This window comes from Homo sapiens, chromosome 4 (assembly GCF_000001405.40).
Source record: "Homo sapiens chromosome 4, GRCh38.p14 Primary Assembly".
In the NCBI taxonomy this organism is placed as follows: domain Eukaryota; kingdom Metazoa; phylum Chordata; class Mammalia; order Primates; family Hominidae; genus Homo; species Homo sapiens.
The window spans coordinates 6,306,605-6,334,419 of NC_000004.12; the positions used below are offsets into that span (position 1 = coordinate 6,306,605).

At 53.3% G+C, this 27,815-nt stretch overlaps 1 protein-coding gene across 9 annotated transcripts in view, besides 2 other annotated features; it reads right to left on the minus strand.

Annotated features, from left to right (window-relative positions):
• The window catches only part of PPP2R2C (protein phosphatase 2 regulatory subunit Bgamma), a 243,219-nt gene continuing 229,380 nt past the window's right edge, over positions 13,977-27,815 (minus strand). For all 9 annotated transcript variants that reach the window (XM_047415891.1, NM_001206994.2, NM_001206995.2 and 6 more), the window contains 3 exons: positions 26,958-27,127; positions 22,658-22,749; positions 13,977-16,989 (listed from right to left, as the gene is read on the minus strand). In XM_047415891.1, coding sequence (XP_047271847.1) covers positions 16,698-16,989; positions 22,658-22,749; positions 26,958-27,127 — 554 coding nt within the window. In that variant the 3' untranslated portion in view covers positions 13,977-16,697. The remainder of the gene's footprint in view (positions 16,990-22,657; positions 22,750-26,957; positions 27,128-27,815) is intronic.
• Positions 20,916-20,965: a silencer, noted in NCBI's record as "silent region_15230". NCBI's record gives its function as "represses an Ori minimal core promoter by ATAC-STARR-seq in GM12878 lymphoblastoid cells {active_cell/tissue: GM12878}" and the evidence as "EXISTENCE:reporter gene assay evidence [ECO:0000049][PMID:35858748]".
• Positions 25,358-25,859: an enhancer, noted in NCBI's record as "H3K4me1 hESC enhancer chr4:6333689-6334190 (GRCh37/hg19 assembly coordinates)". NCBI's record gives its function as "activates a minimal SCP1, AML or CMV promoter by ChIP-STARR-seq in primed H9 embryonic stem cells {active_cell/tissue: H9 hESC(primed)}" and the evidence as "EXISTENCE:reporter gene assay evidence [ECO:0000049][PMID:30033119]".

A 27,815-nucleotide genomic window follows, 5' to 3' on the forward strand; every position in this document is an offset into this window, starting at 1 on the left:
CCAGTTGCTAGGAAACCACACCTTGGAGGCTGGCAAACCATTGTTAAAGTTGTTCCTAAAGTGCTGAACTTCTACAGTGACTTTGGAAAGTAGCTTGGGGAACAAAACAAAGCAAACAAAACAGAAAAGACTCGGGTTCCCTTTTCTTTCCGTCCAGAAGTGATCAAATCAGCTAAACTCACTGTTTCAAGCTTTCCTCTAACTAGATGTGTTTTTTTCTGCCGTTAGCCAGAAAGGCCCTTTCCTTCCTATTTTAGTCACAGAATAACCTGTCTCTTTAGGACAGTGGGGTCCTGTGCTGAATCCCACCCCCAAAGATGGGAAGAACTCGGGTGCTGCGTTTTGGGAAGCCCCGGCTGAGATGAGTGTATAACTGGGGCTGAGAGCCGAGAGCCTGGCCCAGCAAGCCAGGCAGTGAGGTGACCCGGTATCCCGCTCCCCATTTCTGCTGGAGCTGGAAGAGCCCCAAGGACACCAGCCCCATCAGAGGGAGCTGGGCCCAGAGCTGGGTGGGGCAGCCGACTACTCCCTGCAGAACACCTACCGCCTGCCTGACACTGGTGGCTGCTTTGTGGACATGCTTTTGAAAACCTCGTGAGGGTGATGTTATTGTCCCCACTTTATCCAGGGGTACCTGGGCACGGAGCAGGGCGGTAACTCACCTTGGATGTCTGTGGCAGCCTCCAAGATGGTCCCAGCAATCCCCACCACCTTCCTGCTGCTCCTTCCATGTAGCAGGATAGGTCTGTGCGACCAGTAGAATATGGCAGATGTGACGAGATGTCACTTCTGAGGTTTGCTTACAAAAGGCTGTGGCTTTCAGTTTGGCTGCTCTCTCTCGGATCCATCACTCTGGGTGAGGAAGCCATGCCGCGAGCAGCCCCGTGGGGAAGCCTGCACCTCAAGGACCTGGAGCCTCAAGCCAACTGCCACATGGTGCACTTGGAAACAGGGATGGCTGCCACGGCCCACACTCGCCTGCGGCTCCGGGGAGACACCCAGCCAGAACCTCCTGGTGAATCCACTCCTGGATTCCCTACCCCCACAGAGTATAAGATGACGAATGTGGCTTTAGGCTGTTAAATTCGGGATAACCGATACAGTGCCAACACTGGTAAGTGACGAGGCTGCAATGAATCCCAGGTATCCTGTGGCTGCATCTCCACCTGCATGGGCCATCCTGTACCTGGCAGGCCCCATCCTTAGCCTCTTTAAAAGTCCAGGAACCTTGGAATGTTTTTCTGACATCTCCTAGGCTGCTGGATTTACCAGGAAAAGGGACGGACCCACACCTTTTCCCTGTTTGAATCCATTGCATTTCTTCCAGGTGTTTCAATCCCTTCTGACTCGATTTGCTTTAATGAAGCTTGAGGCAAGTGCAATTTTCTGCCCATGGGGCTGTAACACTGTTCAAAGTCATCCTGGAGCTAAGCTAAGTGGAAAAAACCATATGGCATTGTCGCCTTCTCAGCCTGACCTGGCATGCACTCTCACCCTCATCTGTCATGCCTCCTGCTTTTCCACCTGGGGGGCTGAGAAGTCCGGCCATCGAAACCTTGGTTCCTGCCAGCCACGGGAGTTTGGAAGCTTTATCAGATTCCTGAAGCCTCGTTTCCTCATGGGAACAGTGCAGGTGAAAGCACCTTCCTCTCGGAACCGGGGGGAAGATGAGAGGAAATTAAATAGATGTATGGCCCCGCAGCAGGACTGGCGCTCTCCATTGTGTCTGAAATTGGCAGGTTCTTGGTCTCACTTACTTCAAGAATGAAACCACGGACCCTCGCGGTGACTGTTACAGTTCTTAAAGGCGGCGTGTCTGGAGTTTGTTCCTTCTGATATTCAGATGTGTTCCGCGTTTTCCTCCTTCTGGTGGGTTCCTCCTCTCGCTGGTTCAGGAGTGAAGCTGCAGACCTTCACGGCGAGTGTCACAGCTCATAAACGCAGTACAGACCCAAAGAGTGAGCAGCAATTAGATCTATCACAAAGAACAAAAGAACAAAGCCTCCACACCACAGAAGACAACCCGAGGGTGTCAACATTACTGGCTCCAGCAGCCTGCTTTTATTCCCTTATCTGGCCCCACCCACATCTTGCTGATTGGTCCATTTTGCAGAGAGCTGATTGGTCTGTTTTACAGAGAGCTGATTGGTCCGTTTTGCAGGGTGCTGATTGGTGCGTTTACAATCCCTGAGCTAGACACAAAAGTTCTCCAAGTCCCCACTAGATTAGCTAGACACAGAGCACTGATTGGTGCCTTTACAAACCTTGAGCCAGACACAGAGTGCTGATTGGTGTATTTACAGTCCCTTAGCTAGACACAAAGGTTCTCCAAATCCCCACTAGACTCAGGAGCCCAGCTGGCTTCACCTAGTGGATCCCCCAACCGGGCTGCAGGTGGAGCTGCCCGCCAGTCCCGCGCCCTGCGCCCTCACTCCTCAGCCCTTGGGCGGTCGATGGGACCCGGCGTGCCGCGGAGCAGGGGGCGGCGCTTGTCGGGGAGGCTGGGCCGCGCAGGAGCCCACGGCCAGGGGGAGGCTCGGGCATGGTGGGCTGCAGGTCCCCAGCCCTGCCCTACGGGGAGGCAGCTGACGCCCGGCGAGAATTCGAGCGCAGTGCTGGCACTGCTGGGGGACCCGGCGAACCCTCCACAGCTGCTGGCCCGGGTGCTAAGCCCCTCACCGCCCGTGGCGGGCGGCGCCGACCGGCTTTTCCGAGAGCGAGGCCAGCTGAGCCCCCGCCCACCCGGAACTCTCGCTGGCCCGCAAGCGCAGCGCGCAGCCCCGTTCCCGCCCGCGCCTCTCCCTGCACACCTCCCCACAAGCCGAGGGATCCGGCTCCGGCCTCGGCCAGCCCAGAGGGATCCGGCTCCGGCCTCGGCCAGCCCAGAGAGGGGGCTCCCACGGTGCAGCGGCGGGCTGAAGGGCCCCTGAAGCGCGGCCAGAGGGGGCGCCGAGAGCGAGCGGGGCTGCCAGTACGCTGTCACCTCTCACCATCACTGCCCTTGCTTGCTCTACGGCTGCTCAGACCCAAGGGGCAAGTTTCTCCAGGTATTTCCAAACCAGGGAGGGCTTTGTGTTTAGTTTAAGTCAAGGAGGCTGTCCCCTTTTCGAGGCTGTTTGGATTTCTTTCAGCAAAAACTAGCAGAAGTTATTACGCAGGAACTTTTTGTAGCATATAAAGAATGAATCCCGATAGGTACTGTGATGGTTACCGTTAGGTGTCAACTTGATTGGATTGAGAGATGCCTAGAAAGCTAGTGAAGCATTGTTTCTGGGTGTGTCTGTGGGGGTGTTGCCAGAGGAGACTGAAATTTGAGTCAGTGGACTGGGAGAGGAAGACCTCTCCTCCATGTGGGTGGGCACCATCCAATCCGCTGCCAGCGCGCCTCCAACTAAGCAGGCAGAAGAAGGTGGGAGAAGCTGGCTTGCTGAGTCTTCCACCTTCATCTTCCTCACATGCTGGATGCTTCCTTCCACTCCTCCTGCCCTTGGACATCAGACTACAGGTTCTTCGGCCTTTGGACTCTGGGACTTACACCAGTGGTTTGCCGAAATCTGTGCTTTCTGCCACAGATTGAAGGCTGCACTCTTGGCTTCCCTACTTTTGAGGCTTTTGGACTCGGGCTGAGCCACTACTGGCTTCCTTCTTCCCTAGCTTGCAGACAGCCTATCAGGAAACTTTGCTTTGTGATCATGTGAGTCAATTCTCCCTGATAAACCCCCTTTCATAGACACATAGATCCTATAACTTCTGTCACTCCGGAGAACCCTAATATAGTTACCAATAGAAACCTTACAACTTTCCCTAGATTCTGCAGGCTGGGTGGAGTTCACCACCCTTTGCTTTGAGGTATCAGTGGAGGAAGAACAGAGGCACTGGGGTCAGGACAGAATGGGGCCAGACCCCAGCTCCAGAACCTATGACCGCATAGGTTTGAGAGACCTGCGTTCCAGCCTGGCCTCTGCCTTTACTGTGTGGCCCTGGGCAGGTTCCCTAACCTCTGAAGCTCAAGTTCCTTACCTCTAGAACAGGAGCAATAATAGGACCTGCCTCATGGGTTTATGTAGAATACGATAGAGTGCAAAGTGTGCGACACAAGGCCCAGCACACAGTAGGTGTCAATCAGTGGTCACACTTGTCACTATCCTATAGGATGGGCCTTGGGCACACCTCCTAACTTTTCCAGCCTCAGTTGGCTCCTCTGTGAGATCAGGATTATAAAGATCTGCTTTTCAGGGTGGCTATGATTTGTTGAGAAATGAAGTATCTATCACACCATCATTTACACAATCATTCATTCATGGAGCCATTCATTCCTTCAATCATTTATTCAATCATTCATGAATTTATGGATTTAGTCCATCATCCATTCATTCTCCAGTTCTCAAGGCTCCTGTGCTGGGCATGGTCAAGACACGCTCCCTTCCAATGGGCAGATAGGTAAGCGGGGGCCTGAGGAAGTGCAGGGACTGTCATCAGCAAACCCTGCTCCAGAGTGGAGACAGAGCAGAGCATGTTCCACCCAGGAACCCCTTGGTTTGGAGGCATCTCCATCTCCTGCCAGCCCAGCTCAGGTTCTGCCAGTCCCTGAACCCTTCTCACACTCTCCACCCCACCCATCAGGAGTCATATGGCAGGGCTGTCGAGGCGTGTGAACCAGAGCAACTCCATCTTGAATAGGAGATGGGTAAAATGAGGCTGAAACCTACTGGGCTGCATTCCCAGACAGTTAAGGCATCTAAGTTACAGGGTGAGATAGGAGGTTGACACAAAATACAAGCCATACAGACCTTGCTGATAAAACAGTTTGCAGTAAAGAAGCCGGCCAAAATCCACCAAAACCAAGATGGCCATGAGAGTGACCTCTGGTCGTCTTTGCTGCCACACTCCCACCACCGCCATGACAGTTTACAAATGCCATGGCAATGTCAGGAAGTTACCCTATATGGTCTAGAAAGGGGAGGCATGAATAATCCGCCCCTTGTTTAGCATATCATCAGAAATAACCATAAAAATGGGCAACCAGCAGCCCTCGGGCTGCTCTGTCCATGGAGTAGCCATTCTTGTATTCCTTTACTTTCCTAATAAACTTGCTTTCACTTTTCTCCATGGACTTGCCCTGAATTCTTTCTTCCACGAGATCCAAGAGCCCTCTCTTGGGGTCTGGATTGGGACCCCTTTCCGGCAACATCTTTGCTTCCTTTCTCTTTAAATTAAATTAAATGCTCATGGTTTTTAAAGCCCCTATCCCTTTGCTCTCACCCCCAGTTGCCATGCCTCAGAGGAACGGCCTCCACCCCTTTCAGCTGTTTCTTCTGCTAATTACCTTCATGTTTTGGAATAACATGTTCAAATGCTATTTCTGATTTTCCAGTTTGAGATAATATGTGTAGACACCATGAAAGAAAAATCGTCTCTCATATGGCCCCTCTGGCCTCCTTCAACGAGACTTTAATGGACAAGCCACCTTCCCAGTATCACCATCTCACTGGGTCCTGTTAAATCAGTGTCCATCATTTCTGTGCTGTGTAAATAGGATTCACTGCTGGGCCACGGAAGGCACTATGATTATGTTTCTTTCTTTTTTTTTTTTTTTGGAGACTGAGTCTCACTCTGTCACCCAGGCTGGAGTGCAGTAGCATGATCTCAGCTCACTGCAACCTCCGCCTCCCGGGTTCAAGCGATTCTCCTACCTCGGCCTTCCAAGTAGCTGGGATTACAGGCACACACCACCACAGAGACAGGGTTTCATCACGTTAGCCAGTCTGGTCACAAACTCCTGACCTCTGGTGATCCACCCGCCTTGGCCTCCCAAAGTGCTGGGATTACAGGCGTGAGCCACTGCGGCCGGCTTATGATTACTTTTTGTTTATGCTGTGCCTAATAATTATCTAGTTTTTTGTTTGTCTAGTTTTCTCCACATTGACCACTAATTCATTTGTGAAAAATAGAAAATTTTTCTCAATGTGTTAAAACTATCAGATAAGCTCTCAATTTCTGCTTCCCCAGCCCCGTAGATTTGTTGTTTGGAACTTCCCATCTTCCTGTGTCAATCTGGACTGTTCACTCTCTAGGCCCACCACCCAGCTGTCACCCTGGGGACTCCCTCACTGTCACCCGGGTGTTCCTTTTGTGTCTCTCCTCCGTGGTATCCCTGTTTCTGGGATCCCAGATGGATTAACTGGGAAACAGGCTAGGCTGCTATAACAAAGAGACCCCCCAATACAGAAGTTTATGCAAACCAGAATTGTATTTCTCTCTCAGGTCACCATCTGAGTAGGTGGCCTAGGCTAGTGTGCTGGCTCCAGGCAGGTTTCTTCTCTCTTGTCGCTCTCTCTCTTTTGACCCACATTTTCTATCTTGAGATCTAAACTAGTTGCTCCAGGTCCTGAAACCACCTTTACAAAATTATAACTGAGGAAATTATGACAGTGAAAAAAATCAGACCTAACCGACTCCATCTTCCTTCTAACCTTTAAGCTGTCCTTGTTCATTCCTGGACATAGGCCAAACTAACTTTGGAAAGGAATTCAGTTCATGGTTTGACTGAAACAAAATTGATAACAGCCCTTTCCCAAAAAGACCCCCCTTCTTGCCTAGGGTCCAGTCTGCCTTTGCAGGACTAACAAATTAGCTACAAGATTAGAAATCACAGTTTAGAGGTCATGCAGCCTCTGGCTCTAAGAGTCTGAACCTCGGCATATTGCTCCTGGGGATAACATCATTATTGTAAAACCTAAGATCAGTGCTTGAGATATTTTGCAGGCCCTGTGCTCGATGGATTAGCCAACACCACCCAGACCAGTAATCTGGCTCAACCAGTTCTACCATTGCACCTAGGAAGAGAAGACATTAAGAAAACCTCACTTCAACCCACTATGATTCCATCTCCAACCTGACCAATCAGCACTCTCCACTTCCCAAGCCCCTACCCACCAAATTGTCTTCAAAAACTGTGATCCCGGCCGGGCGCAGTAACTCACGCCTGTAATCCCAGCACCTTGGGAGGCCAAGATGAGCAGATCACTTGAGGTCATGAGTTTGAGACCAGCCTGGCCAATGCAGTGAAACCCCATCTCTACTAAAAATACAAAAATTAGCCGGTCATGGTTGTGGGTGCCTGTAATCCCAGCTACTCGGGAGGCTGAAGCAGGAGAATCGCCCGAACCCAGGAGGTGGAGGTTGCAGTGAGCCAAGATCGTGCCACTGCACTCCAGCCTGGGCGACAGAGTGAGACTCTGTCTCCAAATTAATTAATTAATAAAGTTATAATTGAAATTAACACTCTGATCCCCGAATGCTTGGGGAGACTGATTTGAGTAATAATAAAACTCCAGCCTCCCTCACAGCCAGCTCTGCATAAATTACCTTCTCCATTGCAGTTCCCCTGTCTTGATAAATCGGCTCTGTCCAGGCAGTGGGCAAGGTGAACCCACTGGGTGGTTACACTTTCAGCACTGTGTCTACAGTCTGGCCAGCCTTTAGGATGGGAGGGCAGGTGAAAGACAGGCTTCTCCCCTCTTACAGTAGTGCCTGGAGCAGATCACTTCCATTGTCCTCGCTGTTGGCCCCACCTGGCTCTGGGGGACAATCCTGTGTCCAGATAACAACTCCAATGCGACGTACGAAGGGAAGGTCAGATGTCAGGGACAACCAGGAGTCCCTGCCTCATGTGTTTCCTTCTTTCCTGGTTTCGTGTTAGTGGCGCACACCCTCCAGCAACTTCCTGAGAAATTGCCTTTATGTGAACGGGAGCCAGTCTGAAAACTTCCCAACATAGGTCCATACCTTTGGGTCATCTCCCCTCACGGTGACCTGGGCTTGCTCCTGTGACTTGTTTTGGCCCATGAGACGACAGGAAATATGACACAAGCAGAGACTTGAGAGGCAGGTGTGCCTTGGGGCTTATCTTACTGACACTGGGGGCTCCAGTGTCAGAGACATTGGAACCAGAGTGACTCCATCTTGAATAGGGGCTGGGTAAAATGAGGCTGAGACCTGCTGGGCTATATTCCCAGGAGGTTAGGCATTCTTAGTCAACAGGAGATTCACAGATGGGGAACAAGTGAACGATGTTTACCAAACAGACCCCGGACTTAACAGATCCAGGAGATGTCCTGATGTCCCGACACCTTAAGAACAAAAGCATTCTTAGTTCAAAAATAAGTTTGGTGGCTGGGCGTGGTGGCTCACACCTGTAATCCCAGCACTTTGGGAGGCTGAGGTGGGCAGATCACCTGAGGTCAGGGGTTCAAGACCAGCCTAGCCAACATGGTGAAATGCATCTCTATTAAAAATACAAAAAAATAGCAAGGTATGGTGGCTGGCACCTGTAATCCCAGCTACTTGGGAGGCTGAGGCAGGAGAAGTGCTTGAACCTGGGAGGCGGAGGTTGCAGTGAGTGGAGATCGCACCATTGCACTCCAGCACTCCAGCCTGGGCGACAGAGCAAGACTCCGTCTAAAAAAAAAAAAAAAAAAAAAAGGTTTTGCTTTAAAGATTCTTGCAGAAGACAGTAGTTGCACAAAGATGAACAATCCTTAGTCACCAGCCCTAGTAGCAGAGCACACCTCCCCCAGGATTTTGTGCCTTTGTCTTATATATGAACAAGCACTGTACCTAAGGCACATGTGTTCCTCATCTTGCTCTTGGGAACACCGTACGCTGCCTATGGAGTAGCAATTCCTTCTTGCCTTTACTGTCTTAATAAACTTGCTTTCACTTTACTCTGTGGACTCGTCCCGAATTCTTTCTTGTGCAAGAACCAAAAACCCTCTCTTGAGTCTGGATTGAGACCGCTTTCTGGTAACAACTGGGGCGATCACAGGGCTGGCCTGGGAGAGCCCGCTGGGTGAGAGAGATGCCTGCTGATGGCATCTGTGTTGTCCTGAGCCAACCAGCAAACCTGTGAGTGAGGCCGTTCTAAAACATTCATCCTCAGCTCTGCCTCCCAGCCCACACACGGAATTGTAAGAAATAGTCAATGTTTTTACTCTTTTTTTTTTAAGACACTAAATTCTGGGGTGTTTCATTACACACCAAAAGCTAATTGGTACAAAACCTTGCATGGGTAAAAAGCCTTCATTTCCCTCTCACGTGTAATCAATAGTTTGAAGGGGCATAGCCAGCATTCGAGGTCCAAGAATTTCTTCTTAGAGTTTGAAAGCAGCGCTCCCTTCCCTTATTGCTGCTGGGAAGCCTGAAGACATATTCTGATTCTCCTAAGCTATCGTTTACAGTGTTCTCAGTCTCCCTGAGTTCTGATCCTCAAAGGGATGGCCCTGGAAGTGGGTAGGCTTTCCACCATTGCGCCGGGCACTGTAGTTTCTTTTCATCTGCAAAGTTTGATTCTTCAGGTCAGAAACATTTTGAATATTTTATTTCCTCCATTTTCTTTGTTGAACTCCTCATATCTGTGTGCTGAGGCCTCTTTGAGGAGGTTAGCTTTGTTTGTTTGTTTATTTATTTATTTATTTATTTATTTTGAGATGGAGTCTCACTCTGTCACCCAGGCTGGAGTGCAGTGGCATGATCTCTGCTCACTACAAGCTCTGCCTTCCGGGTTCAAGCTATTCTCCTGCCTCAGCCTCCCGAGTAGCTGGGATTACAGGCACGTGCCACCACGCCCGGCTAATTTTTGTATTTTTAGTAGAGACGGGTTTCACCATGTTGGCCAGCTTGGTCTCAAACTCCTGACCTCAAGTGATCAGCCTGCCTTGGCCTCCCAAAGTGCTGGGATTAACAGGTGTGAGCCACCACGCCCAGCCGAGGTTATCTCTTTTTCTCACCTATTTTCTTTGGGATTCTCTTTGATATTTTTTGTTCTACTTCCTGAGAAATTTCCTCAACCGTATCTTCCAATCTTTGCAGAGATCTTTATTTTTGCAATCATGCTTCTAATTTCCATGGTTTCCTTAGAGTCTCCACGTGTTTCCTTGGCTATGTTTTCCATATTCTCTTATCTCTATGCAGATATCCATTATCCGAGTTTTGAAAACGGTATTCCACCTGGCACTGTAGCTAAAGGTTGCAGCTTCTTTTCCTTCCTCTTTGCTTGTTTGCTTGTTTTTGTCTTGGTCTTTTCCACAGCAGGGCTGTCCTTGAGTGTCTGGCATTCTGGGCTGTCTGCTTCTATCTCAGCAGCTGCCTGGAATCTCTGTGTGCCTGTGGCAGAGTGGGGATGCGTGTCAAACTGCCAGCTTCCCAGTTGGATGCTTTGGTGGAGCAGTACCTTTTTTTTTTTTTTTTTTTTGAGATGGAGTCTCACTGTCGCCCAGGCTGGAGTGCAGTGGTGTAATCTTGGCTCACTGCAACTTCCACCTCCCATGTTCAAGCCATTCTCCTCCCTCTCAGCCTCCCGAGTAGCTATGATTCTAGGTGCATGCCACCATGCCTGGATAATTTTTGTGTTTTTAGCAACGACAGGGTTTCGCCGTGTTGGCCAGGCTGGTCTCAAACTCCTGACCACTGGTAATCCGCCCGCCTTGGTCTCCCAAAGTGCTGGGATTACAGGGGTAAGCCACCGTGTCTGGCCGATGGAGCAGTATCTCGAGGGACCTCCAAGTGTCCAAACCTAGGTCTTTTCTCTCCAGCTGGCCAGTTTCCCAGTGAGGGGGCCTTTAACCTTCCCCGGGGTGTGGGTGGGTTGGGTGTGACCTGTTCTCAGTTGGCTGCCTGCCGCCAGGTCTTCCTGGGGTCCCGGTCCCCGCAGCCTCTCGCACAATCCCTGGGGAATGAACCTCCCGCCTTCTGCAGGGCTGGGAGAGGGATGCTTGCTGAGGAAGACATTCAGAAAACCTCAATTTTCTCCCCACCCTCAGAGGTCCCTGGTGCCTCCAGGCCCAGAGCCTTTCTGGGGTTCTATGATGCAAACCAGTTGCCTTGTGGTTGCCCCCACCGCGGGCTTGGGCTCTGCTCTCTCAGTCTCTAAGCTGTTTCCACTCCCCCATGTGCCTTCTTGCTTCCCATCTTCAAGGCCACGGTCCAGCTCCCGTTCTCTTTGTTTTGATCCCTTCTTTGACTCTCGAGCCTGTGGGAGCGAGGGTGTTTGATCTGCAGTGTTGAGCAGGGTTCTCTGGGCTCCTGCAGGGGACCCAGTGTTGAGCCCACATACACCTCGCTCAGTAAGTAGTCCCTAAGGACTGTGCAGGGCACCAGGGACACGGTGGTGAGTGAATGATGGTCCCTGGTCTCACATCTGTGTCCGTGCCAGTGCCAGGGGGCCTGGGCTGTGGGGAAAGGAGGAATCGAGGCGCTCAGCTCAGGAGGCTTTTCAGGAGCAAAGGGTGCACAGTTGGTTTCAGGCAGGGAAAGGTGTGAGCAGCGGCTGGGAAAACACACACCAGAATGTCACCTTCCGAGGCCTGAGGCCCCACCAGGTAGCCAGAAGGTCCAGGATACAGTTTAGTAATTAAGACCTTGGGGCTCTGCGGACACGCTGCCTGGGGTCAGACCCTGGCCCCAACACTCACAGTTTGTGGCCATGAGGGACTCACCCACCTCTTCACGCTTCAGTTTCCTTATTTATAAAATGCGCGGAAAAATCACAGAATCCTCTTGATCAGGTGGCTGTGTGGATGGATGAGATGATGTGTACACAGCCCTCCGTATAGAGCCTGGTGTGTCCTCTGTGAATACTAGGAATGACATGGAGGGCAGGTCAGGGAGGAAGCCAGGTCACCCAGGCTTCCCCCACCCCCCGCCAAGCCAATCCCTGGACCTAGCCCAGTGGGTGGAGGTCAGGTCGGGCAGGAGGGTAGGTCACCCAGGGGCGCCCCCGCCAAGCCAAGCCCCGGACCTAGCCCAGTGGGTGTCAGGAACGTCAGGACCCGCTCTCCGGAGATGAGCTCCGGAGAGATCCAGGGAGGGAAAGCATTGAGCATCATTTCTCCCAGCCCTCTCAAGGCCATCTCTGCCTGCCACAGCTCTGAGCGCAGGGCCTGGTGTGGAGTGGGGGCCCATCCATGTGTGCAGACCCCGCTGGAGCAGGCCAAGCTGTCCCTGGCCAGGGGCCAGCTCCCCACCACTCCACAGGCTCCAGCCCTCACACGCCTGGCCCTCTAGAAGCCCTGCTCACTACCTCTGCCACCATCTGGCTGCCCCTCTGTCCTCTGCAGCCCCATAAACCACCACCAGAAACTCCCCAGGAAAGAGCCCTACCCTTGCCCTGCTCAAGAAAGGCAACGTGGTGCCACCAGGGCTACAGGCCCCGCTTTGCTGCTTCCCTGCGTGCTGTGGACCTCCCAAGGGCCCTTGCCTGTGAGCAGGGAAAATCCCTACCTAAAGGGGTGGCTTTGTCACCAGGACGAAGTGCCCAGGGATATGGGGTCCCTGGCGCTGCCATGACAAATGACTGCAAACTGAGAGGCTTAAAAGAGCATATTTATTATCTTCCAGTCTGGAGGTCAGAGGTCTGACACAGGCCTCACTGGGCTGAAACCAAGGTGTGGGCAGGGCTGGTTCCTTCCGGAAGGTCCCAGGAGGATCTGTTTCCTTGCCTTTTCCAGCTTCTAGAAGCTGCCTGTGTTCCTAGGCTGGTGGCCCCCTCCTCCATCTTCACATCCAGCACCGCTGGTCGAGTCTTCATGTCATGCCTTGCTGAGCCTTTTTCTGTTGCTACAGCTGTCTCCAATACAACCAGGAACGGTCCTACACTTTCACGGACTTGGGTGATTAGATGGGTCCCACATGGATAATCCAGGCTAAATTCCATCTTCAGGTCCATGACCTTAATCACATCTGCAAGATCCCAGAGCTGGCAATTGGTCAATGTTGGCTGAAGTTGGGTTTGGGGAGGCTGAGGCTGCAGGATCCATCACCACCCTGGGCCTCCGCACATGCCTGCCACTTCCACCCCTGGGGTTTGAATCCTGACCCCTCCACTTATTAATTCTACTAACTTGGGTATCAGTTAAATTACCTCATCTCTCTAGGCCTCCTGTTCTCCATGTGTACAATGGGTATAACAATAGCAACCCCCATGCTCTGCAGAAAGGATAGCATGCAGCCACAATGAGACATCCCTTCCCTGTAGGGGCCGGGTGACCTCCAGCACAGCAGGACTGCGGGGTTCAGTCGAGTCACCCCACAGTACTGAGGAGGAGCGGCATGCCCTCCCACTATGTACACACACAGTCAGAGAGGTTAGTGAGTGGCCAGTGACGCACATCCAGGAAGTGGCCACCTCCTCCCTGTGCTCTGTCCTGGAGCTGTGGAACTGAGCGCCAATGAAGCCCCTGCCAGCAGACCCGCAGAATAGCACCTGCCTTCCTCCTGCTGAACCTGAAGCCCAGAATTCCCTCCTGAAAGCCAGAGGCAGGGCCTGGCTCCAGGCAGGGTGCAGGGAAACCCAGGCGTGCGTGGGACACTTACCCACACACTCTCCTGTTTAGCTCAGCCATTGTGGCAGGTGGGGCGGGGCCTCTCTGGCTTCCTGAAGAATCCAGGTACCCTGTGGTTTCTCTCCCCCGCAGGCTTCCATTCTCTGGGACCCTCAGGCACGTCTGTGGGGGAGCACTGGATGAGGAGTTATGTGCTACCTGTGTGATTGCGAGCTAATTCTTTAACCTCTCTGAATCAGTTTCCTCATCTGTATCATATTCTCATGGAGAGTGTGAGTGTGTGTGGAGATCATGATGGGCTATGCACACCTGCTGCCAGACAAAACAAGACAACTATCATTACGGAGTGTCATGTGCCAAGCACTGTGTTTTGCACTATCCAAGTTAATCTTGTCCTTCCTCTCCCACCACAAACCTACAAGATAGGTCGTCTTATTAGCTCCATTTCCTCAGTGATGAATTCAGAGCTAGGGAAAGTTAAGAGCTGCATTAGGAGCTAGAGGGAGCAAACCCTTGACGTGAACCCAGCTTCCCAGTGCAAAGCCCATGGGCATCCCCACCCACTGTATTGCCTCCTGATGGGCTCCACCTCCATGAGGTTGGACTCACTAAAAACAAACAGCATTCTGGACCTCGTTTTTGATGTAACATTTGTTATTTTATTGGAAAAAGCTGGTATTAACATATTTATAGTTTTATTCAACAATTGGGTAATTTGTGAGACACCAAAGAAAAAAAGAATGCACCTATGAGTTACAGAGTCCAAACTGATCAGGGCTGACAACTTGACCACCATGTATCCCACACCACCACCCCCACCACCACCACCACCAACAGCTTCGTCCTCAGAGAAGAGCTAAATTAAAAACAAAACCAAAAAAACCCCAACAACTTCACAATGACTATGTGAACGCCCGTACATTCGAGAGTACCAGGAAATGTAAGCAGAGCCAGGATGCAAGTCTGTGACTATTACACTGGTCCTTCCACCGTTTCTGGTTTTGTCCCTCCCCTCGACACCTTTTCTTAACACACATTTGATCTTCACAATTTGCTTTGGACATCATTATTTTCCAGGGATCCAGAGACATACTTTTCTTCAAAGAAGATCTTTTCCTTTCTTTTTTCTTCTTTTTGGTTTGGTACCCAAAGTTTAAAACAGAAGTAAGGAACTAGGAACTGTATTAAGACCTCCTTTTGAAGGACATGTAAGATTTGTACTTTGAAGATGGTAAATGTTAAATCTATGATGTGACAGTAACCTCTAGCTGCAAATACAAGTTTCTTCTCTTAACATTTGACTCACAAAGGGAGATGGATCGTAGCAAATATCCAAGTAATGGGTAAGGCCCTCAGAGCTGGGTTTTGGCTTTAACACGCTATCTATACAATTGACCACATTCTCGAACCTCTTTACAAGGGGGAAAAAAGTAATCCAATCCTTTGATTGTTAAATTTAATTAGAATAGATATGTACATATAATACTGTCCAGGTCAACTGGATTTTATAGTGATATATAAACAAACATTCTTCATTCACGTTGATTAAAAAAAAATCAATGATCCATTTCCCTGTGTAAATGTTATATGGCCAGAAGTGAGTACACATGCACTTTGTGCTTTTACACACACAAAAGTATACTGTAATCCACTGAGAATAACCTCAGCTGGGTCTGTTTCCTGGGTTATGTTATATCTTGTAAAAAACAAAACAAAACAAAACCAAAAAAAAAGTTTGGATTTGGCTGGGTCTCTGCTCCCCACTTTCTGAATCAAAATGCCAAACTACGTGGCTCTGCTGCAAGTCCATGAGCAAAGACGACTCAGAGGGGTGGGCAGGTTTGGTATCACCAGAACAGGAGCATCTACCATGGAAACACCACCTTCTCTGTGGCCCTCATTGTCAGAGGGGCAGAGTTCCCGAGGGATGTGTCCTCTGGGACTGTGTGGTCCTTAAAGTAAAGGTATCCTAAAATGGTCAGAACATGCAATTTCCTTTCAAAGGCAGTTCAGTGCATTGGCTCAAGGAGGGTGCAAGCCCAGGATGAAGTGGAGTCCTGGGGAGGGCCACACTCCTGAAGCCACCAAGCAGAGCGAGGAGCTCCGGGGGGTCTTCTCTGTCTTCCATCCTGCGTCTCAGTTCTCCTGGACCCTTGTCGTCGCCAAGTCTGCCATGTCCTACTTCACAAGACAGAGGCATTCCTTTCCAAACCTTCCATTTGAATGTCGCTCTAACATGAGCCGCCCACGAGATGGACTGGAGAGAACCTTGTGTGAAGACCCGGACGGGTTCCTGACACCACTGCACGGCACCTGCCATGGGTGACCTGTGCATCCGCTCAGAGCCTCAGCTTCTTCTCGTGGACAGAGGGGATCCTAAGGGTTCCCGCTTATCCCCAGCATCCAGCCCAGAGCCTGGCACGCTTCGAGAAGTTGGTGTTTATGGAGGAAATGAATGAACACCCACCTCACAGTCAGGAGGAAGATTCCAAAAAATCGTGCATGGGAGTCAGTGTCCGCTCCGGGAAGGTGCCCAGTGAATGCTGAAGGGTGAGGCGGCAGGGAGGGCTGCAGAGGGTAAGTCAACTGCCTCTAGGGCTGAGCACCACGCCTGGTACACAGCAGAGGCTCAGCAAATGGCAGGTGAATCAGATGAGGACACAGGCACACAGAAGACAAACCCCACTCCGCTCCTCTCGGGAAACCGCACCAGACCTGGGACCTGGGATGTTTCAAGACATTCAGAAGACCTAGGAGAGGAGCTTGCATCTGCAAATTCTCAGCATGAATTCACCATCCAAAAAACAACGGTGAGGTCATCAGCTCTGAGACAGGGCGAATTGCCCCATTTATAACCAAAAGAACCCCTGGCTGGCTCGTTTGAGACTCATCATCTGTCCCTGGAGCCCTGATCTGGGACCAGTGAGGCATGGGGGAGAAGCAGCTCCCATCAGCTCCGGTCCCTGCAACAGGACGCACTGGAGTGAAAAATTAACCCGGACGCATAAAAAGTCCTATTGATGTGGTAAAGACCGCAGACCGAGACAGGAAGGGACGTGAATGAAAGAACCCTGAACTGTAAGACTCCACAGTCATGTCCATTTTATGATTTGTGGCGGTGAACGCTTCCTTTCCTTTTTATTTTTTTAAACAGACAATTACTGCCAAACACAATTCTGGCCTAGGAAAGCTGGGGCAGGGAGGGGGCCCAAACTTCCTGTGTCCACACACTGCCACCTCTGCAGCTGTCCTCATCAGTGCTGTGACTTTCTTCCCCTCCTTGCATTGCGGTCGTGAAGGTCATGTCGGGGATGACTTGCATGAGGCTGGGTGGCAGGGGCCGGGAACTGCACATACCTAGTGCATGTCAGAGTTTACCTTGTCCTGGAAGATGTACAGGTTGTTGGTGGCGGCGATGGCAATGATGTTCTCAGCCGGGTGCCAGGCCGTGTGCAGGATCTTCTTGGTGAAGTCCAAGCTGTCCACACTGATGTCATCACGCCGGCGCTTGCCCCCCACGCACACGCGCCGTGGCTTGAGCACAGCCCGGGGCTTGCTGCTTTCCCTCGAGGCCTCCAGGGTCACGTCCCGCTTGGTGTTCCGATCGAACATGCGGAAGAAGTTGTTGTAGGCCCCGGTCATGATGACGCTGGTGGGAGAAGGAGAGGCATCAGGTGAGGAGGAGCACAAGCCCCTTCTCGAGAAATAAGCCCAGGTGTGGGGGCTCACGCCCATAATCCCAGGACTTTGGGAGGCCCCGGTGGGAGGATTGCTTCAGCCTAGGAGTTCAAGACCAGCCTGGACAACATAGCGAGACTCCACCTCTACAAAAAAAAATTAAAAATGACCGTAGTCCCAGCTATTCAGGAGGTTGAGGCAGGAGGATCACCTGAGCCTGGGGAGGCAGGAGGATCACCTGAGCCTGGGGAGGCAGAGACTGCAGTGAGCTGTGATTTACCACTGCAGTCTAGCCTGGGTGACAGAGTAAAACTCTGTCCCAAAACAACAAACAAATGAAAAAGCAATCCCAGAGCCTACAGAGCCATCACTCCCTGGAAAGGGAAACCACACCTGCCTCTATTCCCCTGTATCTTGGGGTCTCTTATACCCCCTCACATGTCAGCTGCCACCAACATGCAGACTTTGGGGCCAGGAGCTAAGATCCTTTTTATCCTCTGCCCCAATCATCATGAAAATACCCTCCTGGCCAGGCGTGGTGGCTCACACCTGTAATCCCAGCACTTTGGGAAGCCAAGGCGGGCAGATCACCTGAGGTTAGGAGTTTGAGACCAGCCTGGCCAACATGATGAAACCCTGTCTCTACTAAAAATACAAAAATTAGCTGGACATGGTGGTGGGCACCTGTAATCCCAGCTACTCAGGAGGCTGAGGCAGGAGAGTTGCTTGAATCCAGGAGGCAAGGTTGTAGTGAGCCAAGATCGCGCCACTGCACTCCAGCCTGGGCAATAAGAGCAAAACTCCGTCTCGAAAAAAGAAAAGAAAAGAAAAGAAAAGACCCTCCTGTAATTTCTGTTAGTCCAGGAGAGAAAGCTCTGGCCTTCCAAACAGACTGTGCAACCACAGCAGGAGGTAGACATGGAAGCAGCTGGGACAGAAAACCACCAGGCCCTGCTTCCCTCCAGGGGCCCGCCTGTCCCGAGGACTCGGGCGAATAAACAAACATGCATCGCCATGAGGGTCGGGGCGAGCAGTGCTGACGTGCAGGGGCTCGCTGCCCTCACCGTCCCGCTAAAGAGAATTCCACACCATTTCTCTGCTCTCCCTGCTCCTAAGGAGAAGGGGTTCCTGCCGGTGGGAGGAAGGGTAAGTTCATCCACATAGTAAGAGGCAGGAGAGAAAGCACAGTTCTGTGGGCCTGCGCCCAGAGGGAGGGTTTTGGGGTTTGGCCTCTGCAGGGCCCTGGAGCAGCTGTGAGGTGCAAGGTAACTGGGGAGGAAGAGGATGTTACGAAAAGCGACCATAAAGAAGTTGTCCTGCTGAAGGCTCTTCAGGGAGGAAATCCTGTTTCCTTTTGGAAGCTGAGCTGGGCTTCCTGAGGGTGACACTGCTCTGTGACAGAACCAGGTGGATCCCTGGGTCTCCAGGGGTTATGCACAGAGGACAAAAGCTCACACGTGAGCTCCGGCACTGCAGTCAGGGGCTTGGGCTCTGGCCAGTCCGCCTGGGTCCGGATCCCAGCTCTGCCCTACCCTGACATGCGCACTCTCTTAGTTTTCTATAAGAACTGGGATCAACAAGGGAACGCAGCCCCTGGTGAGCGTGAATCAGGGGACATAGGCTGAACACCCCGCACAGTGCTGGGCTTGAGGCACTTTGCTTCTTGTTATTTACCAGGTACTCCTCGATCCTAATCGTCCATGTGACCAAAGCCGCACCCGCTTTATATGTGACTCAGAGCCTGGGACAAGGGAAGCAGCATGCGAGGGGGGCCGGGTGAACGAGTCCCACAGAAGGGCCCTGCCCAGGCGCCACAGGCTGACTGGGGGAGGCCACACCCTCCCCGCGCCAGCACAGTGGGGAGGCAGCCCCCTTTGTTCTTCAGGGAACAGTTCACAGAATGAACCTGGGTGATTTCACACAATGCTGGTTCTTCTGATCCATTTAGTGGAAGGAGAGCGACATAATTAAAGTCATTTGCAACCCACACAGTTCCTGATCCTCCCCCTGTTCGGGTGTGGAATTCAGCTGACACGTGCTCTGGGGGAGAGGGAGGGGCCCCTCTCATCCTAGAGCACCAGGCCGCACCACCATGAGAGCCATTCCTCACATTCAGGCAGGTTTCTTAAATTCCAGAAGGTTCCCTTAACAGGGAAAAGGGCAGGGGAGCTGCTTCACCTCTCCTAGCCTCATCTGCATGTGGGACCACAACGCCGGCTGCTTTCAGCCCCAGTGCTCCGCTCCTCTTTCCTTTGGGGAAAGAAAGGCTCCTGCCCTCGCCACCCGTGGCGCCTGTAATCCCAGCTACTTGGGAGGCTGCGGCAGGAGAAGTGTTTGACTCCAGGAGGCGGAGGTTGCAGCGAGCCGAGATGGCGCCACTGCACTCCCTATCCCTGTGAGCGGTCAATCACAGTGCTCTCCTCGCCCCTTGGCCTGGCCAACTTGGGCATGTGATATCCCTGTCCATGCTGATTGGTGCAAAAAGTGGGCAAGTGACCCACACAGAGCCAATCAGATCCTTCCATGAGAGTTTTACACAGTCCCTGGGAGGGGTTGGCTGGCTGAGGATAATGGAAAGGGGAATGATTTGGGGGTCATCTCTGAAGAGGGAGAGGATGAGGCCAGTGTGTAAGAAGAAGCAGGGAGGAGCGGAGATGGGGAAGCATGGAGAGAAGAAAACGGCCGGAGAGAAAAAAACAGCCCTAGGGATACAGCATGGGCCCCTGGGGGAGCCTTGCCCAGGACTCCTCAGAGCAAGTGTAGGTGTGTTTGACTCCCGCACCCGAGCACGCTCGGCTGGCACAAATCTCTCCCCCCAGGCAGGACAGATCAAGGAGAACTTCATGGAGGAGGGGGCGTTGAAGCCTGTTGTGGGAGGGCCTGCGGGATTCCTCCGGGTAGGTAACCTGGGGAAGGGCAGGCCTGCCAATAGGATAGTCCACGCAGGATCACTGCGGCACCCCTGCGCATACGAACTGGGATCTTGCTGAAGGCATCACACATGGTCTCATCCCCAAAGCGGCCACGAAGGCCAGTTTCCTAGAACCACTTTCCAGCCGAGCTGACTTAGGGGCTTCCTCAAGCACACGGTGGCGAGGGTAGAATGTGGACCAGAGACTGAGAGAGTCCAGCAGGAGAGCTGCTGCCTCTCCACAGCACGCTGCCCATCTGCGTTCTGCCGGTGCTAGGAAGCCCCACGGCAGGGGCCATCGGGCAGCCACCACGCGGCAGCAGCGGCGCTCTGCGGGCCGGACCAACTGTCAGAGGGGGTCACCAGGAATAAGAGGGCAGCAACTGGGAGCCTGCCAGGATTCGAGTTTGCTTTGGTCTGCAAGGATGTGGGAACCTGGGGGGAATCCTTGCTTCTCTCCTGAGCCTCTGAGGCCCTGGAAGGCAGGACCCAGGGTCTGTTTATCTTGGGACCCCTGACCATGGGGCATGTTGTTCTCAGAACAGTGCTCAAAGTGAACTGGGAGGTGGCACACCTCTATGCCTTCTAGAAACACCCACAGCCACTGGACACACCTGAGGTCCCCAGTGAAGGGCTCAGAACAGGTTGAGTCATAGTAGCCCCCCAGGGCACCCCACCCATTGCGGGAGGCAAACAAGGACAGAGGTTCCAGCCGGGCAGAGCAGAGCCAGCTGTGGAGCGAGAGACAGTGAGGCGGGTGGGGGACCACTAGGACAGGGCGTGGCTGGCGTGTAAAGTGCACGCAGGAAGTGGCGGGTGGGAGGCAGGACAGGAGAGCCCAGGCCTAGACACCACTGTCAGCCTGGGGATGCTTGGCGGCTTCTCCAGTCCTGGGAGCAGGCATCACCTGGCCGCGGGTGCCCCCTGGTGGCAGCTTGAAGGAAGGACGGGCAGTGGGTCGCAGCCAGCGGGGACCTACCCCGCAAAACGCACATAAAAGCTGGAATCAGCTTGTTACAGCTGCAGGTCCCTCTCGTCCGATTTGGATAGACCCTCTTGGGACCCACTGCACCAGGGAACCCCAAATGCAGCTCAGCAGCATGGGAGGAGCCCTGTCTGCTGGGGGTGTCTGGGATCTATCTGGGGGCAGGGCCTAGAGAGAAGGTCCTGTGTCCTGCTGACCCAGCTGTGCCAGCCCAGCCCCGGGTCGGGCCTCCATCCTGGTTTTCTAAGCATCCTTTAGTGGCCCCCTGTGATCACCATGCCAGCCCCTTGCCTGAGCTCGGGCTCTGCTGAGAGACCCCTGCGGGCTGGGGGAGCTCCAGGATGTTGGCAACTCTCTCAGAAATCTCCTTCCCTGGACACAATGACTTGGCCCCCCACTTGGATCCAGCCCTGCTTCCAGGGGGCTCCCTCCTGGTCCTGTCTCTGCCATGTCCAGCCCTCCCCTCATCCCACACACCAACCCTGATGGTCCCAGCCCTATGCCCAGAGCCACAGAGAGTCATAGTGCGGCAGCTCTCACATGACCACCACAGTGCCAGCCACCCTCAGAGGTCTGGGAGAGCCCAGACCTGTCATGTTGACTGATGCCATCCACAGGGTGGACAGCCCCCCACCAGGTGATGCCCAAGTCAGGGCTGCTGGCTCTCACTCCACCCTCCTTGCCCACCACACTGGACAGGACTGCGGGGAGGAGGTGACAGTACATGGGCTCCTGACAGGTGGTATTCTGATCTAGCAGCCAGTGTAGTCTTTATCTCCACACTGTGTATCATCTGGAGACCCACTTCTGAATCTGGGCGGCTGGACAAAGAGGCATCCTGTCCTTGAGGAAGCAGCTGTAGGAGACACTGAGAGGCCACCTCTCAGCTTCTGAGATCGAAACTCACAGATGGAGAGTAGGCTTGTCCATTTCAGAATCTTACGCCTGGCAGGACCCTGAGCACAAAGCTGATGTGATTTGGGAGGGCAGAAGAGGGATTTTCCCACCTCCAGAATGGAGGAAGAATCCCAGAGAAGAGACACAGAGGTAAGGACCCACGGGTAGAGGTCAGGTCAGGAGCCCCTGCCACAGCCCCCTTGTCCATGCCCGCCCTGGGCTGAGCCCAGGCTAGGGAGACACAGGAACTCACTTCTGGCACTGGGGCGCCACTTTCCAGGCAGGTGGGGTTGAGAGACGGCTGGACTTGTGGATTGTGACAAGCCCTGGAGGGTGTAGGAGCTCCAAGGTGCCCCTGAGCCTCAGCGGGCCCGAGTGGGGTGTCACCAGGAAGAGAGGGAGACAGTAGTGGTGATGGGAGGAGGGGTGAGTAGACCGATGGTCAAAGCCACAGGGGTGCAGGGCTGTCTCAGGACATACAGGTGTGGATGGATGATGGTGACCGGGTGCTGGGCTATAGCCCTCGCCCCCGACAAGCTGGGAGAGGGGAGCACATCACCGGGGACCCTGAATTAACTAAACATGTTCCCACTACTGCCCATAGGGCAGGCGCCAACGTGGCTGTGAGGTTCAGTGACAGAAGATGAAGAATTTCATGTCCTGCCCCTTGAATCTGAGCGCTGAGAGTTGGACCTGCTCTGGAAAGCGTGGGCTTCACCCAGACACCTGGACCCATTGAGGCTGAGTAGCCCCATGCTGCGGGTCACCGGAATCCCAGCCCAGACCCCTGCAGGGCAGAAACCCTCCCTACGGTGAGGTGAGGTGCGGGCTGAGGTCAGGGCTTACCTGTCGCTCCCGTTCCAGGCACATTCAAACTTGTCGAAAATGCAGTCGTTCTCGTACAGGGAACAGAGCTTGCTCCGAAGGTAGTCATGGACCTGGTGGGATAAGGGATGAGGTGAGTGGACGGGGCGTCCCGACCATCCTGGCCCTTCCACAAGAAGGGTCTCAAAGAGCAGCGAGGGTCTGCATGCCCTGACATGGCCCAGCGCAGACCTGCTCATCTCAGCGAGGGTCTGAATGCTCTGACACAGCCCGACACAGCCCTGCTCATCTCATCGGGAGGCCCATGACCAGGCACACGGCTGACCCCGACCGTGACACAGCCCAATACAGCCCTGCTCATCTTATCGGGGGGCCCACGACCAGGCACACGGCTGACCTCCACCGTGACACAGCCCAATACAGCCCTGCTCATCTTATCGGGGGCCCACGACCAGGCACACGGCTGACCTCTGAGCTGTGGCCAGAGACGGGAGTAGCACCAGGGAGCAGAGTCCACTGTGACAAACAGAACGCTCACAGCACAGGGGCCAGGACCACCTGGGGTCCAGATCCTGGCTCTGCCCTCCCAGCTGTGTGATCTTGGACAAGTGATTTCATCTCTCTGAGCCTCAGTTTCTTCAAACTTAAAGTGATAAGAGGGCGAACCTCACAGTGGTTCTGGCATTAAGTGCAGGGCAGGCCTTTTGAGGGTAATGATCTCCGAGAACACAGGGTGGCGGCCATCAAGAAAGGGGAAGAGGGAACCCACAGAGGTTTCTCATCCATCCACAGCACGAGGCACTGAGGCTCACAGGGTCACACAGCCTCTAAGAGGCTGACCAGGACCCTTCCCCAGGATTCCCGTACCCCACAGGAGAGAGGGTGACACCCCAGGACCTGCATCCACCTGACTGCAGCCGGTCCTACAAGCCCTGTACCCGGAGGGCCGCATGAGTGCCAGCCCTCTGCTGAGGCTGGAGCTGCCAGGACAACAGGGCACGGGCTCTGCCCTCTGGGTGCGGAAGGGAAGGTAACTGGGTGCCATGGAGCCTGGTTTCAACTCCCAGGAGTTGAAATTAACAACTCCAACGAACACAGAAAATGTGAAGGGTGGTGTGAACGTCAATTTCGTGTGTCAGCTTGGCTGGGCCAAGGTACCCAGATACTTGGTGTTTCTGTGAAGACATTTTGTAGGGGAGGTTAACATTTAAGCTGATATACTGAGTAAAGCAGGCTGCCCTCCATCATGTGGGGGGCCTTGTCCAATCAGTCGAAGGCCCTGATAGAACAAAGACAGACCTCCCTGAGGACCGGGGGATTCCGCTAACAGATGCGTGTGGGCTCGCATAGTCACTCTCCCCTGGGTCACCAGCCTGCCCGCCTGCTCTGCAGATTTAGAACATGCCACGTGAGCTAATTCCTTCAAATCTCCCTTCTTTCTCAGTCTCTATCCCCATCCTGTTGGTTCTGTTTCTCTGAGCCATCTGACTAATATGGTGGCAAGGACTACACAGGAAAACAGAGTGGCACTAGGGGAAGCAGGATTGGGAGGAAGGGCCTGCTATTCACTGCACACAGGATGGTTAGACAAGGCTACCTGACTCCCGCCTGGGGCCCTGCTCATCCCTCCCCAGCCCCCGTGTCCTCCTGGTGACCCTTGCCTTCCCCTTGGGCCCCTGGGCTGCAGCCCCACCAAGCTGAGGGTCACTGTGTTCCTGTCTGTCTGGGACCCTCGAGGGTGAGGCCGAGGTTCTTCCTTCTCTCTGGGTCCAGGGTCTAGCACTGTGTTGGGCACAGGGTACTGGCTCAGTATGTGTAACAACTAAAATCAAGGGGGATGAATGGCAGCAGGTTTTAGTGTTCGTGTCCCACCCCCGGCTCTGCATTTTTGTGTGTCCTCCTTACTCAGCTCCCAGCAGCCTTGGTGATGCACGCGTCCAAATGCGCATGCTGTTCTCTCTGCCGTGCACTAAGCATCTCCTGCCCTCTAGTGGCAGGGTGAGGAAGAGCTCTGGAGAAAGACTGTCAATCTAAGGTCCGCTGCTTGCTGGCTCTGTCACAGATTTGCCATTTAACTCAATTGTCTTCCAATAAAATGGGATGGGGAGAATACCGGCCCCACCTCCCAGGACAGCTGGGAGGCTTAGATGAGGCAAAGCATATTATGGACTTACCTCAGTGTGGCTCATTCAACAACCGTCCCCAGCCCCTTCACCCTTGCCTTCTTCAACCACAGAGGCTGTTAAACCATTAATCTTCCCAGCCACTATGGTGGCTGCCAGGGACCCATTCTAGACAATGAGGTGTAAGAAGTCTTCTGAGAAGCATTCTGGGGAAGATTTTACAATCACAGTGAAACACGCAACAGACCCCAGGGGTGAGATCTAGTGCATTTCCTATTTCCTGCCTGGAATGTAGGCAAAGTGCTTGGAGGTGTGGCAGCCACTTTGCCACCATGAGGTACCACATGTGAAGGTGGAAAACCAACGCCCAAATGATGGTGGACTGGATCACAGAAGGAACCACTGTGGCGCTGCCGGGGTCATGGAGCCCCCCCACCTTCCTGGACTGCCCTCTCCAGACTCCCTGTTGTGGGAGAAAAATAGCCCCGATTTGTTAAGCACCGCACACCAGCCGAACGCAGTCCTGCTACACACAATTTCTAGCACATCACAAGCCACCAAAAAATGTTGGTTGTTGTGCTGCTTTTATGTAGTTATTGCTATTATTTTAGCATCAATAGGTCAGCTGGGCCAGATGCCAAGTGCCCAGCTTACGGCCTCACGCTCCAGAACAGTCATTCCCCTCCTTCGTGGGGTCCTTCATGAGAATTTCAGAAAGCTGTGTCCCCCTCCCCCTGAAAATGCTCATAGAACACATTCCACGTAGTTTCAGGGGTTCATGGGCCTTTGCTGACCTCAGGGATGGAGGTAAGTGACCGGACAAGGGGCCGGAGGGGGTTGGAAATGTTCATTTCCCTGAGCTGCCTCCAGAGGGAGCCAGAGAGTTGCTCCTGCAGGCTTGAGCCGGGCTTATCCTGTCCCTCTCCTAGTCTGGGGTCTCTGCCATTCCCACAGGGACAGAGGAGGGCTGAGTCCTGCCTGGGGTGTGCAGTGTGAGGAGGGGGCCTGAGGGAGGAGCTGGGGCAGTCGCAAGAACTCAAGTAAACACACGTGGCTGACAAACAGGCGGTCCCCATAGCGGTCCTTGTGGGTGTGTGGCTTCCAGGAGCGTGAGCTGTTCCTCTGGGGCCCAGGTCAGATCAGAGCAGCCCACCCTCTGAGCTCTGCACCAGTTCCCAGCGAGGCCTGCGCCACCCAGGACGCTTTCCTACTAGGTCTTCGCACGGAGGAAAGGAAAGCGTAGGGCTCTGAGCCTGGGCTCTGAATCTGTCACCGCCCAGCCGAGAGACACCTCCCTCATCTCCCTACCTCTCAGTGCCCGAGTTCCCTTTCCACCAAATAGGATGATGGCTCCTTGTCACCGGACAGTAAAGAATGGAGGTGACAGATGTCAAGCACGTGGCACCCCATGTGTGAGGAGTGACACGGTGAGGAACCGGCTGGGGTTTCTGGTGGGGTGTTTTCCCACCCATGTTTGCACGGCCAGATCTTACCCATCCTTCAAGGCCCAGCACAAATGCCACCTCCTCCAAGAAGCCTCCCTGATCTCCCCACCTAACTGGAACCAGCTTTGAAGCCATCCCACATTTCTTTCAAGTCCACATTTTATTTTAACATCACATGAGTTTTGTTGTCTACCCCCTAACATATCTGAATGGATGATAATAGCAAGATAATAAATAATACTGTCCAAGAAGGGCCCAGGCTTCACCTAGACTCCAGGCTTATAGGCCTGTGCTGAGGATCTGGAAAGGAAACATGTGCTCAGTTCACCTCTGCGTGCACTGCTTACGGATGCACCCTGGGAGGGCAACGCTTAACCCTCTTTAATGGTACAGCTCCGATGCAGGCTCCCAGGGAGTGGGGAGGGAAGCCATCGTCTACATGCTCCACTGGGGCCCAGCCTGACGCTCATCTCTGTTCCCACATCTCTTTCCTCCCTGGAATTGAGGCCCCTGGGCCCTGGACTGCAGGCCTTGCTCAGGGACATCCAAAGCTCCCTGTGAGGCAAGACTGAGCACTCCTGCCCTCTGCCAAGCTACGTGTGGGGATGAGTTGCTGGATTTCTTCAGCCTCCGTGTCTTCACCTACATACCGGGCATATGAAAGCCACGCCTGGCTAGGAAGGCCCCCTCCATGGGGATCTCAGCATAGGGAAAAAAGACCCGGGATTGGGGGTCTCCTGCTGTGGTGCCCACCTGGTAGGTCTCTATGGGTCTTGCCTCCATGTTCAGGTCCCAGACCTTGACTGTAAGGTAGTCCCGGGTGAGCATGTAGCGGCCGCTGTGGCTGAACTTCACGTCGGACACGGAGGAGATGATTTCCGAGAAGAATGAGCGGTTACTGGGGTCCTCAGGCTCTTCAAAGACTGTGGAGACAGAGAAGCAATGGCCGTCACTGCGCTGCTCCCGCCCATGGGGTTGGCACGACGGATGACTCTGTTTTGCACCTGGGCCCATGCTCTGTTTATTCAGTCATTCATTCATTCCTCAAACCTAGAACTAAACACTTACCAGGGAACAAGCCTGGTAAGATTCTGTGCTGTGCAGAAATAGCCATTACTATCCCCATTCATAGCCAAGAAAATGGAGGAGCAGCTGGCTAAAACCCATGCCTGGGGAGTCAGTGCTGGAAGAAGGTGGTAGAGTCGGGATTTGAAGCCAAAGCTATACTTGATGTGCTGCCCTCTACTGCCCCCTACTGGTGATGCTGAATGCCAGATTGCAAAGGTGTCCTGACATTCTCAAATGTGCTGGACAATGTCCTCTACCAGACTGGGCACTGCTTGTGGCTCTGGCACTAACTGGCCCTGGGACCTTGGGCCAGTAGTTATCTCTGTTCATGGTGTCCTGGGCAGGCATGGCTGAGCCCTACTTATAGGTGGGTTTTGTTTCATTGCCATGGGGTTTGTAACAAAATCAAATCTGACTGCCACAGAGTTGGTACAGTCTCCTGTATGCCATCCACTGACCATCTCCTTTTTTCTTGGAGCACCTGCTCTGCACAGGAAGTTGCTTATCTGGTCCCTAAAGGCAACGGTTTGCTGCCCACCTGGA